At 34.5% G+C, this 16,129-nt stretch overlaps 1 protein-coding gene across 4 annotated transcripts in view, besides 1 other annotated feature; it reads left to right on the top strand.

Annotated features, from left to right (window-relative positions):
* Window positions 1–16,129, top strand: part of PPA2 (inorganic pyrophosphatase 2) — a 104,994-nt gene that overhangs the window by 77,007 nt on the left and 11,858 nt on the right. For all 4 annotated transcript variants that reach the window (NM_176867.3, NM_176866.2, NM_006903.4 and 1 more), the window contains 2 exons: window positions 730–815; window positions 10,428–10,497. In NM_176867.3, coding sequence (NP_789843.2) covers window positions 730–815; window positions 10,428–10,497 — 156 coding nt within the window. The remainder of the gene's footprint in view (window positions 1–729; window positions 816–10,427; window positions 10,498–16,129) is intronic.
* Window positions 10,892–11,045: a silencer, noted in NCBI's record as "fragment chr4:106307176-106307329 (GRCh37/hg19 assembly coordinates)". NCBI's record gives its function as "represses an EF-1alpha promoter that drives an FKBP-Casp9 reporter gene in an ReSE screen in phorbol 12-myristate 13-acetate-treated (for megakaryocytic differentiation) K562 erythroleukemia cells {active_cell/tissue: K562(+PMA)}" and the evidence as "EXISTENCE:reporter gene assay evidence [ECO:0000049][PMID:32094911]".

Genomic DNA, 16,129 nt, shown 5'->3' with positions numbered 1-16,129 from the left:
GTTTTCCTTAGATATTCTTACTGGATGTATATCCAACAAGAGGTATATCTATTGTTGCTTATGCATTTTTAGACAATGTCATAAATGTCAAGGAGATGTACTGCTTTCAGACAGTGGATAGTCTAAAATTACTTCGATTGAAAAAACTACATTTAGACTGCCTGCAGTTTTGATGATGCTGAGATTAATGGGTGCATGCTTACTGACAAGCCGGGTACTGGGTTAAGCACTTTACATATGTCATCTCACTTACTCTTTCAACAACTCTGTGACTTGGATCAGGGGTTGGCAAACTTTTTTCTGTAATGGGTCATATAGAAAATATTTTAGGCTTTGCAGATCGTATGATTTCTGTCACAGCTGCTCAACTCTGCTATCGTAGTACTAGAGCAGCATAGGCCAAACACAAGCAAATGTGACTGTTCAGTAAAACTTTACAGGGGGCAGACTGGATTTTACCCATAGTTCCTAGTTTGCCAACCCCTGATATAGATTATCCCTATTATATTCTACTTCATAGATGAAGAAATTGAGGCTTAGCAAGCTTAAGTAACCTGCCCAAAGTCACACAGCTGACAAATAAGGAAGCCAGAATTTATACCAAGCTTTGCCTGACTCTGGAGCTCATGCTCTTAACAATTAACTGTCATCACAAGATTAGTTTTGTGTTAGTGTAACAATGTGACTGATATTAAATACGTCTTTTTTTATTTGTTTGTTTGGAGCTAGGCTTTTGCTCTTGAAGTTATTAAATCCACTCATCAATGTTGGAAAGCATTGCTTATGAAGAAGTGTAATGGAGGAGCTATAAATTGGTAAGAATTTGTCTTTTCTATGTAAGTAATGTTATATTAATTGGTATTAAACAGCCACATAATAATCAGATTTCAGATTTTTGCATTTTTTTTAATTTAAACAATACAGATTATCTACCTATTCATTGGGCATTACTAAGTGTTGGGCACTATTAAACTAGGAATTGACGTGATCTTTTTTCTCAAGGAATTTATAATTTAGTGGGAATACTGATAAATAAATGGACATTTAATTGAAATACATTGTGCAAAGATGAAAAACGCAATTTTTCAGCATGTAAATCTATGCGGTTTCTTTAAAATCTAATAACTACCATATAATTTCTTAGAAAGTAAAAGCCTCCTTATTCATCATGATCACTAATTGATTGATTAAGAGGAATTAAGTAACAGTAACATAAACATTTAATTTAAAACATTTAAATGTATATTCACCCATTTTTGGATATAGGGCTGAGCCCCTTTTAATATAGATTCCATATAGATTTTATATACACTCTAACATAACACAGGATAGAAAATAAAGATTCTGTAATCCTTAAGCTCCTTGTAACTTAAAATTCCTGACAGATTTTTAGGGTTCTTTTAAAAAAATCATTTAAATTATGTTATCTACACCAAATTTTTGTAGTGATTCACCTTTATTGAGGCTTTTTAGGGCCTCAGTATTGTTTAAAGCCTCGTTAGTTTTATAACCTACTTAATGTTCACAGAAACAGTTCTTCCACACTCTTTTACAGTTCATCTGTGAACATAATTAATACTTAAATTTTGAAATTATAGTAACAAGTACAATTGACGAACACATTTAAGAACTAAAACAACTGACTCTTGGTAAGTCTAAGTATAGGAGGCAAAAGCAGTCCTGTGGGGGTACTAAAGATAACACTATGAATACGATAGAGTCCCTGTGCTCTCTGAGCACAGTCTGGGAATCAAGAGGGTCATTAAATAAATTCTAGACTAAGGTAATCAGATGGAGTAAAGAATTATTTAATATCAAGGAATATTTTACCTAAGTTATCAAGAAGGCCCATTTTGCCTACAACACAAATGCTTGGCATTGAAGATAATTGACTTTGTTTCTCTTGCTTACTAAAGAAACACTGTCAACTCCTTGGCCTTCTCCCTTTTTTCTTACCTCGTATGCAGAGCACTCTTTTTTTTTTAAGCATAATCTTAAAATGCAGGTAATTGTTTCTAATATAAATAATATAATTTATTAACAGCAAAGCTGGATATGATTGAATGTCCTCTAGTCTTGTCTATCCTAGTAAATGGTAGAGTGAGCTATTCTTTGTGGGCTAAAATTAAGACTCCAGTGTAATGAGTCCCTCCAGTATGAAGGAGGAGGGGGTCTGTGATTGTCTGAGGAAATATTTGCTTGCTCTTTGCTGTCTTATCTCCTTCCTAATCACTTTCTAAAAAGCTTATGCAGTCTTTGATGAGACTTGAGTGTTTCCCCAGGTTTCCTCAGCTACACAGCCAGAGACCCTTTGTTTGGTTAGTATATATATAGCTTGAACTCATTCCTTCTGTGCTGAGTCTAATTATCCTTACTGTGAAGGTAACTTTATTTCTAAGCTCTGGAATCATTTTGCTATAGCCTCCTGAGTAATGATAAGGATTACATTAACAGTAAGAGTTAACATTTATTAACTCTATACTATGTTCCACGTTCTGAGTGATTTATATATGTTATGTAATTAATACTCAAGAATCCTATAAAATATGTATTGTTATCTCCATTTTACACATGAAGAAATTGAGTCCACATAAAGATTTAGGTAACTTACCTAAGGTCACACAATGCATTGTGGAGCCAGGATTTAAACCTTACTCTCTTTTTTTTTCTTTCTTTTTTTTTTTTTTTTTGAAATGGAATCTTGCTCTATTGCCCAAGTTGGAGTGCAGTGGTGCAATCTCGGCCCACTGCAGCCTCTGCCTCCCAGGTTCAAGTAATTTGCAATTCTCCTGCCTCAGCCTCTCAAGTAGCTGGGATTACATAAGCCTGAAACCAAGCCTGGCTAATTTTTGTATTTTTAGTAGAGACGGAGTTTTACCATGTTGGCCAGGGTGGTCTCGAATTCCTGGCCTCAAGTGATCCGCCCACCTTGGCCTCCCAAAGTGCTGGAATTACAGGCGTGAGCCACCACACCTGGCCTAAACCTTACTCTGTTAATAGCTATGTTCTTTTACCTCCTCTACATTTTTTATAACAAAATAACTTTTTTTAGTTTAAGAATTTTCAGAATATAAGTTTCAGTATATGTATCATATGCATCTAGAAAATTTAAAGTCAAGAGCTTCAGAATTTTAACTCATTTTAATCCATTTTTCTCTTTATCATAACTTAATTTGGAAATATATTCAGCGTTGTTAGTTTTTATTTCTTTTGCCTTTCTGTAATGAATTGCCTATCTTTCTTAATTCCTTAAACTGTACCATTGTAGATTGGCAAGCTTCCTCTGCCTTCCTTTTTGAAACCCATTTTTCTCACTCAGTTCAGTTTAGGTCCATACTATCATAGACATTCTCTCAATGTATATGTAATACACAGAATTAACTAGGGAAATTGTTAGAGAACTCAGATACATTGTCCCCTTCTTTAAACCTAGTGTATTAGTATCTTTAGGAAGTAGAATCTAAACGTATATGTTTTTAAAGCCCCCTATGTGATTCTGATGAGCCTCTCTGCTTAAGAACCATATTATTATTATTATTATTATTATTATTATTATTATTATTATTATTATTATTATTTTGAGACAGTGTCTTGCTCTGTTGCCGAGGCTGGAGTGCAGGGGCGCGAACATGACTCATTGCAGCCTTGACCTCCCAGAGTTCAGCGATTCTCCCACCTCAGCCTCCCAAGTACAGGCATGCACCACCACACCTGGCTACTTTTTAAATTTTTTGAATGGACAGGGTCTCGCTATGTTGCTAGGGATATTCACGAACTCCTGGGATCAAGCAATCCACCCACCTCAGCCTCCCAAAGTGCTGGGATTACAGGTGTGAGCCACTGCGCCCGGCCTTAAGAATCATAAAATCCAAACTTGTTCTCATGGAAAAACAAACAAGGCCGTCCAAGATTTAGATAACCTTTCTTGCCTCATTTTCCATCACTTCTTGTCTCCTATTTCATGTTACAACAACTGAAGGCCACTTGTCACTGTGCTTGTAGTAATCTCTAGACCTTTACTCATTTTGTTTCCTTTGCCATGATTGTCTTCTCATTTCTTGAACTGGCCATGTTACTCATCTTTTAAGATTTAATTTTTACTTCGTCTTCTCTAGGAAACATTCCCTCATATGCTAGTTGAAATGCCAGTACTCTCTGTATTCCTTGTCTTCTGTGGATTTTTGTCATTACATCTGTCAGTTACTAAATACTTGGTTAATGAATTTATCTTCTTCTCTAGAATATAAGTTCCTCAAGAGCAGATGAATAAAGATGCCTTATTCATCTTTATATTCCTAATGCCTGGCATGTAGTAGCCACTCAATAAATATCTGTTGGAGTAAATTGTTGAATAATATTTTAAAGCCAACCATTTTCTTTTTTTTTTTTTTGAAACAGAGTCTCACTCTGTCACCCAGGCTGGAGTGCAGTGATGCAATCTCGGCTCACTGCAACCTCTGCCTCCCGGGCTCAAGCAATTCTCCTGCCTCAGCCTCCCAAGTAGCTAGGATTACAGGCACCTGCCACCATGCCTGGCCAATTTTTGTATTTTTAGTAGAGACGAGGTTTCACCATGTTGGCCAGGCTGGTCTCAAACTCCTGACCGCAGGTGATCCACGCACCTCAGCCTCCCAAAGTGCGGGGATTACAGGCATAAGCCACCACTCCCAGCCTTGTTTTTGTTTTTTTTTAATCCAGGTAGTGACTCTTCTCTTTTCAGGAGCACTGCTTTTATTAAGTTCTTTTCATTGATACCTTGAAAATTCTCTTTCTCCGAAGTTTTTTTTTTTGTTGTTGTTGTTTATTCTTTTTTTCCACTGCTGGATGTTTACTCTGAAATCTAAATATTATATTAACAGAGAGAATTTAATTTCTAGTCTTACCTAAGAAAACTTTAAACTTGATTCTGGGAGAAATCATTTTTTGACATTTGAGTTTACTCTTCAGTCCTCTCCCACTTTCTCTTCAACCAGTTGATATACCTTATTAAGAAATCAGAAATGTACTATTCTGTTTACTACTTTATTTTATTAATCATTATTTATTTTGATCCATCTGTCTTACATATTTTTCAAGTTTTGATTGATTCTTGAGTGCCTTCTAGTTATAAAACTACACTAATTCAGTTACTTAGCATTTCTTTACTCATAAAGTAATGCTTTATTTCTTTACTCATACTCTTTTTTTATTAACAATCATTCTCCTGTTTAATATATTCTATACAATACTGCCAGAATTATCTTTCAAAAGTATGAATATAACTCATTTTTATGCCTAAAAACGTCTTATGATTCCCTTCAAAAATGGGATTTCATCCAACCCTTCTATTCTTAAACAATGTGTCCAAACCTGCCTTTCCAGCCTCATGGGCTCTTCCTTCCTATCCCCTTGTCTTTCTTTGGTGGACATCTTCATTTTTTCGAGAAGCAGTTTAGATGTCACCTCTGCACAGTTTCATTTCTGTTGGGCTGTTGTATCACTGCTGTACATACCTCTATGTAGAACTGGAGGTGGATTTTTTTTTAATACTTTGTATTGAGTTTTTACCTCAGCACTCAATAGCAGGACTTGATGCAGTAGGTAGTCTAAATATGCTTACTGAATAAATAAATAAATATATTCAATTCATCTAAATTCTTTAGGTCTTAAAGTTGTTTCTTTTTACATTCCTAGAGAAAGGTATATTAACCTGGTACTTCCTTTTTTTTTTTTTTTTTTTGTTACTTTAAGTTCCAGGATACATGTGCAGAACATGCAGGTTTGTTACATAGGTGTACATGTGCCATGGTGGTTTGCTGCACCCATCAACCCATCACCTAGGTATTAAGCCCTGCCTGCATCAGCCATTTGTCCTAATAATCTCCCTCCCCTCCCCCCACCAGCAGGCCCCAGTGTGTGTTGTTCCCTTCCCTGTGTCCATGTGTTCTGATTGTTCAGCCCCCACTTGTAAGTGAGAACATGTGGTGTTTAGTTTTCTGCTCCTGCATTAGTTTGCTGAGGATGATGGTTTCCAGCTTCATCCATGTCCCTGCAAAGGACATGATCTCATTCCTTTTTATGGCTACGTAGTATCCTATGATGTATATGTACCACATCTTCTTTATCCAGTCCATCACTGATGGGCATTTGGGTTGGTTCTGTGTCTTTGCTATTGTGAATAGTGCTGCAATAAACATACGTGTGCATGAGTCTTAATAGTAGAATGATTTATATTTCTTTGGGCATATACCCAGTAATGACATCGCTGGGTCAAATGGTATTTCTGGTTCTAGATCCTTGAGGAATCGCCACACTGTCTTCCACAATGGTTGAACTAATTTACACTCCCACCAACAGTGTAAAAGCATTCCTATTTCTCCACAGCCTCAGCATCATCTATTGTTTCTTGACTTTTTAATAATTGCCATTCTGATAATAATTGCCATTTTAGTAATCGCCATTCATGGCTCAAGATGGTATCTCATTGTGGTTTTGATTTGTATTTCTCTAATGATCAGTGATGATGAGCTTTTTTTCATGTTTGTTGGCTGCATAAATGTCTTCTTTCAAGAAATGTCTGCTCATATCCTTTGCCCACTTTTTGATGGGTTTTTTTTTTCTTGTAAATTTGTTTAAGTTCCTTGTAGATTCTGGATACTAGACCTTTGTCAGGTAAGTAGATTGCAAAAATTTTCTCCCATTTTGTAGGTTGTCTGTTCACTCTGATGCTAATTTCTTTTGCTGTCAGAAGCTCTTTAGTTTGATTAGATCCCACTTACCAATTTTGGCTTTTGTTGTAATTGTTTATGGTGTTTTAGTCATGAAGTCTTTGCCCATGCCTATGTCCTGAATGGTATTGTCTAGGTTTTCTTCTAGGGTTTGTATGGTTTTGGGTTTTACATTTAAGTTTTTAATCCATCGTGAGCTAGTTTTTTGTATAAGGTGTAGGGAAGGGGTCCAGTTTCACTTTTCTGCATATGGATAGCCAGTTTTCCCAGCACCATTTATAAAATAGGGAATCATTTCCCCATTGCTTGTTTTCATCTGGTTTGTTGAGGCTCAGATTGTTGTAGATGTGTGGTGTTATTTCTGGGGTTCCATTGATCTATATGTCTGTTTTGGCACCAGTAATCTGGTACTTTTTTATGTATTGATAGCCTCAGTTGTTTTGGCTTTGTGTACATTTATTCCAAGGTCACTTCCTTCTATAAACTCTGGAGGTTATGGTCTAAAATTATTGTCATTCTGATCTCTTTAAATTTTCTCTTTGCCTTTTTCTTGACTACTTTGATTTAGAATGAAAAGCCTTGACAAATCTTTATCCTGAACACTGTCTTTGAGGATTCTCATAAGTGTGGGCCATTGTTTGATTTGAAATTTACTTGAAGAAAATGGTTTCCCTTCACAAAACACTATTATCTGTCTAGTAATATACTTTATTATTTTTATATGTAATTTGGGCTTGTTGTACACAGCATTTTTGGTTTTACTGATTTTTTGCTCTAATGTCATCTGCTTGTTTTGGTCAACAAGGTTGTATATAGGTCATGTAACATTTATACAATTAGAATATAATATTTAATATCTTAGTATAAAAAGGAAAGCAGTGCATTCTTTTTAGTTTTTTTTTTTTTTTTTAAGTTTCGTTTATAGTGGGCACTAACAGCTTAGTCATCCCTCCTTTAAATGATTATACTGCTTTTCCCCTGGCAGGTCGTAGTAATAGTTTGAGAAGTAAAAAGAATCTTAAAGATTAAAAGTTCCTTGGGGCCTCCATGATTCAATATTGTGTCTCCAGCGTCTAGAAGAGTCCCTGACACATAGTGTGATTTTTTGATTTGGCAAATAAATATGAATCAATGTTAAACAACTATTTTTACATGAAGGCCAGTTCAGAAAAAATAAAAATATTTCTTGGTATCATGCCTTTTATTACACTTTTAAACATTCAAAGTACAAATAACTATTAAATCCAAGAGAGGATAAAGTACATTTAGGTATGTACACACACATATTTACATACATATATGTTCTTACAACCTAGATTACATATATTATTGACTAAAAGGACATCATTGAGGATGTTGGCACTGTTTTTAGCTGATAGAAGAGCCTATTTGATAAATAGAAGGAACTTTGTAATCTTTCATCCTATGTATCGGTTTATCTTACAAGAATCTCCTAAGTTCATTTGTATGTGCTTGCCATTTCATTTTTCATTCTTAAAACAGCTAATTTTTTTTTTTTTCTTTTTTTTTTGGAGACGTTGCCTTGCTCTGTCACCCAAGCTGGAGTGCAGTGGCGCCATCTCGGCTCACTGCAACCTCCACCACCCAGGTTCAAGTGATTCCCCTGCCTTGGCCTCCCAAGGAGCTGGGATTACAAGTGTGTGCCACCATGCCTGGCTAATTTTTGTATTTATAATAGAGATGGGGTTTCACCATGCTAGCCAGGCTGGTCTCAAACTCCTGACCTCAGGTAATCTGCCCACCTTGGCCTCCCAAAGTGCTGGGATTACTGGCGTGAGCCACTGCACCCAACCGCTCATACATTTTTTAAGGTGAAAAAATAGCAGAGTCAATTTACTTTCCCAAGATATCCACTACTGGTTACTTGTCAAGACATTTTATCAGAGATATTTTTAAATTTTTTTAATTTTTAAAATTAAAATAAAATTTTAAATATTTTTAAATTTTACCGTGCTGGCTTAAATATTGTCATTCTTTTCTAATATTCCTATTCATAGTTTCATTTTGTTGTAAGAGTAGGGGATTACTTTAGAAGTAGGGTTATCAGATTTAACAGATGAAAAATACAGGACACCAGTTAAATCACTTTTTCTTCTATTTAAATATTTCAGAATAACAAATATTATTCCATGTAAGTGTGTGTGTCTCTTTCAATATTTGGGACATACTTATTCTAACAAATAGTTTGTTGCTTATTTGAAATTCAAATGTAATTGGTTGTTATGTATTTTATATGGCAACTATATCTAGAAAAGACCTCCCCACCCCCGCCCCCTGTTCTCTCACCTTCATTTTTCCAGAATTTCCAAGGAATGTTTTACTTTGGTTTAGTTATAATGTTAAAAGCATTGTTGTATGCATTGTAATTAGTACTTTGTATATCGTAGTTTCTTCACAGGACCAGCACTTTTTTGCAGTGTCTAATTTTTTGCCTGGTTCTTTTTAAATTCATTTTTGACAGTCATCAAGGAAACATCTAACTTACAGGGCTCTGCCTTTTTCAATTGTCAGCTTGTTTAAACATGAGCTGTAGAAAAGACAAAAAACTGTCTTTTTTTTCCCCCTCAACTTTTAAGTTCAGGGGTACATGTGCAGGATGTGGAGTTTTGTTACGTAAGTAAACGTGTGCTATAGTGGCAAAAAAAACTTAGTCTTAAAGATGTTACTGCTAACTTTCATCAGATTCTATTCATGCCAAGAATGAAAATGAATCCCACATTATGAGTCTGGATAGAAACCAAAATGACCACTTATTATAATCGCTGTATACTCAGTGTCATCAATTACAAACAGATATAGACAGATGTTTTTATCACCGATATCTCGGCATATTTCACACAGCTATTGTGAAAATAAATTTGATAATGTATATCCTTAGGTCCACTTGAGGGGGAATATGTTTACGTGTGTTTTACCTATTATTTTATCTTTTAGGTATCTGCTAATCACTTTTTCTTCTATTTAAAAAAGTTAATTTGGCTTTAACTCCCTTCTCTACCACCTCTTTATCCATTTTAATCTGCCTGTTCCTGTGATGAAATTTTTAAAAATCAGCCTTAATATGTTTCAGAGGAATGATGCTTTTGCTTTCATCTAGAGAGTGGCAGTATGTAATGAGTAGCATGCTTTTAGAGGTATAGGAAAGGCTTTTGACTCTATGGAGGCTTCCCTAGTCAGGGAAGGAGCTGCTATTCCTATGCCTGGCTGAACTTCCCTACATATAAGAAAACAAACTTTACATTCATATAGTTTCCTCTTTAATCTCCTTATCTGTGAAAGAGATTCCGCAAAAACTTTCAGTAGCTAATTACAATGTTTGTTACCTCACTTAGAGGAAAATTTATCCTAGGTCCCATTGTGTGGGTCAAATTTGCTTCCTCTTTTCTTCAATAAAGGTGAAGTGCAATTGTGGTGTAGCTTTTTATATATACCTGGAAATTATTAGGATTTGTGTAATATAATTTTTAAAAATCTTTTATCATTCTGGAGAGTGCTTTGCTGTGGACTACTCTATACTTAGAACCTTGCCTGAAAGAATATACAATAATTTTCATTGTCTTAATTTTTATTCATTCAGTTTCTATTCATTGGTTAAAATTATACAACAGATGTGGAGTATTTGGAGTTAGTTTTTGGGGTTTTTTTGGTAATTGTTTCTTTTTATCCTGTTTAATAATAACATTCTCTTTTCCTCTCCAGCACAAACGTGCAGATATCTGATAGCCCTTTCCGTTGCACTCAAGAGGAAGCAAGATCATTAGTTGAATCGGTAAGGGGCAAACATCCAAGACATCCTTTAATCTTATAAATGTCATAGGAAGTCTAGTAGAAATTCTGAAATCTCTAGCAATGAAATGTGTCAAGTCCTTTTGAGAAGCATAAAGTTTACAGATCACCTTGAAATCTATTTCTGTAATTCAAGGAATTTAAATTAAGAATTTTAAAACCTTTTAGTTGAGTTTTTAAATTTTGTATTTGAAAGTTCATTAACCATTTAGCTAACTTCATATGATGCTGTTTTTCTTATCATCCGTTTATTATTGTTTATATAAATATGCTCTCCTCTGTACTGTTGTATCTCCATGAATTATCCTCTGTCCGTGTCTACATTGGAACTGGCTATTGGCACAGTTCCAGCTTAAGAATAATAAAATTGGCCCAGCATGGGAGCTCCTTCCCGTAATCCCAGCATTTTGGGAGGCCAAGGTGAGTGAATTACTTAAGGCCGGGAGTTTGAGACCAGCCTGGCCAACATAAGGAAACCCCATCTCTACTAAAAATATAAAAAATTAGCTGAGCCTGGTGGTGCATGCTTGTAATCCCAGCTACTCGGCAGGCTGAGGCACAAGAATCACTTGAACCTGGGAGGCAAAGGTTGCAGTGAACTAAGATTATGCCACTGCACTCCAGCCTAGGCGACAGAGTGAGACTCTGTCTCAAAAAAAAAAAAAAAAAATTGAAAATAAAATAAAATTATGTTTTTCAGCTTAAGAAAAATAAAATTGGTGAGACCCTTTGCTTTTTTATTTCTCTTTAGTTTGGCTGTCTCACATGCTTTCCTTCTGTAAGCTGAGATGATATCCTTGGATTTTTATATGTCTTAGTGATAATGCTGCATAGAGGCAACTGAATTTATTAGTAAATTAATGACTGATTTGGAGATCACTAAATTAGAAAATTTATATTCAGATAATCAAGTAATATTACTTGTATAAAGTGTATTTAGGAGTGATCTTAGGCTAGAAATCTCATTTATAAATTAAGGGTTTTTAAGAACGATGAGATTTAAAAGCTAGTGAATTTAGATCTTTACACTAAGAACAACTAAAATGTTCCTAAATGTTAGTTGATCACTGTGGCTGCTTTTAATTTATTGTTTTTTTTGTTTGTTTTTTTGTTGTTGTTTGTTTGTTTTTTGTTTTTTTTTTACTGATGTGTCAGCTATCTAATTATGTTATGTGGTAAGATATAGGTTCTGGGAATGCAGTATTAAAGAAAAGACACAAAAACCTCTGCCCTTGTGTAGCTCGCATTTTATCTGGAGAGATGGATAAGAAGGAAATATGCAAGTAAAATAATGAACGTTTCAGAGAGCAATAAATGCCTTCTGAAAAAATGACAAAAATGAGCAGGGACAAGGGGATAAAATGCCAGAAGTGGGATGGGAGTTGTAGTTATTAAAAAGGCAGTCAGCCACAGCCTCACTAAGAAGAGGGCTGACATATGTGCCAAGAATTGTAGAAGGTAAGGTCAAGCGAAGGAAGAGCATTCAAGGCCACACTCCCAAAGGTCCTGAGGCAAGAGGATGTCTGAGGTATTCAAGAAACACTCAAAGTGACCATAGTGACTGGTAGAGTAGAGAAAGTATGGGGGAGAAAGGAGGAGATGAGATTGGAAATGTTTGGATCTGGGTTTGAAAATGGGAGTTGATTATGGAAGACTCTGTGCAGGCTATTTAAGGATTGCATTTCTTATTCTGAATGAGGTAGGGAACCATTAAAATATTTTCAGCAAAGGAGTGGTCTAATCTGACTTTGATTTTAACAAGATCATTCTGGCTGCATTGGTGAGAATGGGCTGTAGGCCATAATTAGATTAGAGAAGATACAAGGAAGCTGTCACAATAATGCAGGCCACATTATTTTCTCCAAGTTATCAGTTTTGTATCTATGTAGATTATATTCAGAATTTGGTTTTCATTACTTATTTAAGGATGAAAATGAAGGAAATCAAAAACTTTTCATCTTTGTACAAGCAGTCTGTCTCACTAATCTCAGATTAAGTCTATTCCATGTATTTCAGTTTTAGATTCATAAATAATATAGTAGATACTTGTCTTAAAATTAGCGAGAGGCTCAAAGTTTCTATATTAGATCCTGTTTTTTCATTGCTTTCTGTCACATTAGTGGCAAAACAAAAAAATAATTGGAGGACATATATGTGATCTAGTTAGATTAGAGGAATAAGATTAGAATTCAGAAAGGTTAACATACAGCTTTAATTACCTGGCTTGGTAACTTGGTTGAGCTTTATAATAATGAAGAAGATACTCTACTGAATAATTTTTCACTGAGAATACTGCATCAGAAATTCACAAATTAGAGAAACCAGTGCCTCTTCACTAGCTCAGTGGAACTTCATGTATGCCAGTTTTCATCATTCAATATTTGTAAGTCAAAGAATTACCCCATTAGCACCCTCATGAATGATTTCGGATTCTTAGAGCCCAGATTAGTTAACACCTTTCTCATATAGTGTTTAATTTGTTATAATGAAATTCTTTGTCATAAAAGTATTTTGTCTCATTTCCTTTCTTCAGAATCACATTGAAGTATTTGAATCAGAATTATTTAGGTGTATATTTCCATGTCTCTTCATTTTGCTGTATACTGAATATTGTACAGTCTTCAAAGTGCTATCAGGTTTTTTTTTTGTCCTTTAATTGCTTAGAATAATTGAAGACACAGAAGTCATTCATCATACTTGATCAGATTCAGACCGTATCAAGTCCTGGGTTTGTATGAAACAAATTAGAAGACCCAAAATTTGTTAGTAGCTTAGAATGAGCGAATTAACAGCTCTAATATGTACCTAAGTAATATTATCTTGAGACTTATCTGTAGATGTTAAATGAGTTCAAAGTATGGTCATTACAAGGCCAGACAGTAATGGAAGTTTTCACTTTCGAGATGCATATTGCTAGAATACTCAGGGTGTGTTGATTGAGATTTTAGAATATGGTTAACTGCTTTGTACTTTTAAAATAGACAAGGAAAAGAAAAGAAATGGACTAAACTTTTGAGTGGTTGATAGAACTATTGGAGGAAGTATATGCTGGGTGAACATTTATTGATCAAAACACAATTAAGTGTAACATTGAGACGAAACAAATTGTTAGTCATCCAACAATATGTACAAATCAGTCAGGAAATCCAAGAAAAATAAAATATAAACTAACAAATTGATGATTATTATTAAGAACCATCTTAGAAACAAAATAGAAAATATCTACAGAAGTAATTTATCATTCTTAGGTTAGAGATCTTTAGAAGGATAGATCTGAAAGATCTGCAAAGATTTCAGAAGGAGAATTTAAATGATCAAAATGATTATTGGGCTTTGTTTACAAATATAGATGTTTGAACTATACATGATCACAAAAAGCATGACTGTATCATAAACAAGTTTTGTTCATTTGATCCCAACACACTAGGGAACCATAAAAGGGAGAGAGAGTGCTCTGAGTGGGCTACAGCATGTGGACCCTGGCAACAGGACCCTGTATGTAATAGTTCAACTGCAGGACCACTCAATTATTATTATTTTTTTTTGAGACACAGGGTCTTGCTCTGCCGCCCAGGCTAGAGTGCAGTGGCATGATCATACAGTTCACAGCAGCCTTGACTTCCTGAGCTCAATTGATCCTCCCACCTCATCCTCCCAAGTTGCTGGGACTACAGGTGTGTGCCACCACACCTGGCGAAGTTTTTCTAGTTTTTGGTAGAGTGGGAGTTTTGCTATATTGCCCAGGCTGGCCTCAGACTTCTGGCCTCAAGCAGTCCTCCCACCTCAGCCTCCCAAAGCACCGAGATTACAGGTGTAAGCCATCGCACCCAGCCTACATTTCTTTTTGTAAAGTTTTTTTATTTTTTTAACCTTCACCTGATTTTATAGCCAAAAAATATGAGATTCTTCCCCAATACTTGAGAATTTTGTGACTAACAGTTGGATCTTTATTTCAGGGAGCAAGGCTTAGAGAATTTATAGAGAACAAAGAATGTGTGTTTGTGTGTGCATGTGTGTATGTGTATGCAAAGACATGATTTGCCTTTCAGATAATATTAGTTGATAGTCTTTAAAGACTTGATTTGACTATTGGGGGTTAAGATGCTACTTTTAGGACCCTTTAGTTAAATATTATTTTGAGAATGTTGAGAAGATTCAAACAAAATGTACAAGATTAATCTAATGCACATACATAATTAGTGAATACATAATTTTTTCAAGTATATGTACACATTTCCAAAAATTGAGTAGATATTAGGCCACAAATAGAGTTACAAAAGACTTGCTGTCATGCAGACCACATTCTCTGTCTACAATATAATCAATTATGAAAATATTAAAAGAAAAAAGCACAAGTTCATGTGTTTGAAAATTTAAAAGTACTTATAAATAAATTAGGCCTCAAAAAATATAAATAATTTATATTTAAAACTAAAATATTTAAAATTGGAAGACAACTGAGTCAGTGTATGTTAAAACTTATGTAATGCAGCAAAAATAGTTCTTGAGAAATTAAATGTATACAATATAGCAGAAATTAAAGAAAATTATAGAAGTTCAACTTAACAATTACTTGTACATTTTGTTTGAATCTTCTCAACAACTTCTCAAATTGTAACTTAACAATTACTCTGTTCGTTTTTCTGACTTTTTATATTAGAAGAAAATTATAAAGAGTAGAGTAAATATTTAATGAAACAGAAAACAAATAATGACAGGATCAACTAAAACAAAAGCTGGGTTTTCTTTCTTTTAAGACTAATTATACAGACCTGTGGCAAGAAAGATGATGAAATAGAATAGGCACAAGTAAAAATAGCAAGAATTAAAATGAAGACATAACTACAGGCATAAGACATATTTAAATAATCAGAAGAGAATACTGAGAAGCTTTTTGCAACAACTTTCTAAACACAGATGAATTGATAATTTTGTTTAAAATATAAATTGCCAATATTAAATCAATAATAAATAGAAAACCTAAATAAACTTGTAAAACAATACTTAATCATGAAGATGGCAATTTTTCCCATGTTAATTCATGAAGTCAGTCTATTTTTTTCATCAGAATCCCAATGAGGTTTTCACTGAACCTCACAGGGTGATTCTAAAATGTATATGAAGTAGTAAAGGGCCAAGAATAACCTAGAAAGGATTAATAAATTTAAGTAAAGGGGAAAAAAACTGTAAACAACAAAAGAAACCTTAAAATAAGTTACAAGATAAGCCATTGATTGGAAGGAGATATTTTCATGTAAATGATAAAAGGACTGGCATCTAAAATAATAACTTATTCAAACTCACAAGAAAAAGATAACCCAGTAGAAAAAAATTGTGTAAACAACATGAATAGACGGCTCACAAAAGAGGAAACATACAATGACCACTAAACATCATAATTTGCTTTATCTTACTTGTAATCAGTGGGATCAAAATAAAACACAATACAATTTTACAGTTGTAGATTACCAAAAGTTTAAAAGTCTGTTAATACCAAGAGTTTTTAGGCAAGTGAAGAAAGGGAAGCTTTCAGACTTGATGGTATAATAGGAGTATAGATGGCTACAACTACTTTGAAGAACATTAAGTAATTTCTAGTAAACTTGATGCCTATA

The sequence above is a fragment of the Homo sapiens genome, chromosome 4, assembly GCF_000001405.40.
Source record: "Homo sapiens chromosome 4, GRCh38.p14 Primary Assembly".
Taxonomy (NCBI): Eukaryota; Metazoa; Chordata; class Mammalia; order Primates; family Hominidae; genus Homo; species Homo sapiens.
Note: the sequence above shows the minus strand (reverse complement) of the source record. Positions and strands in the feature narration are given on the sequence as shown.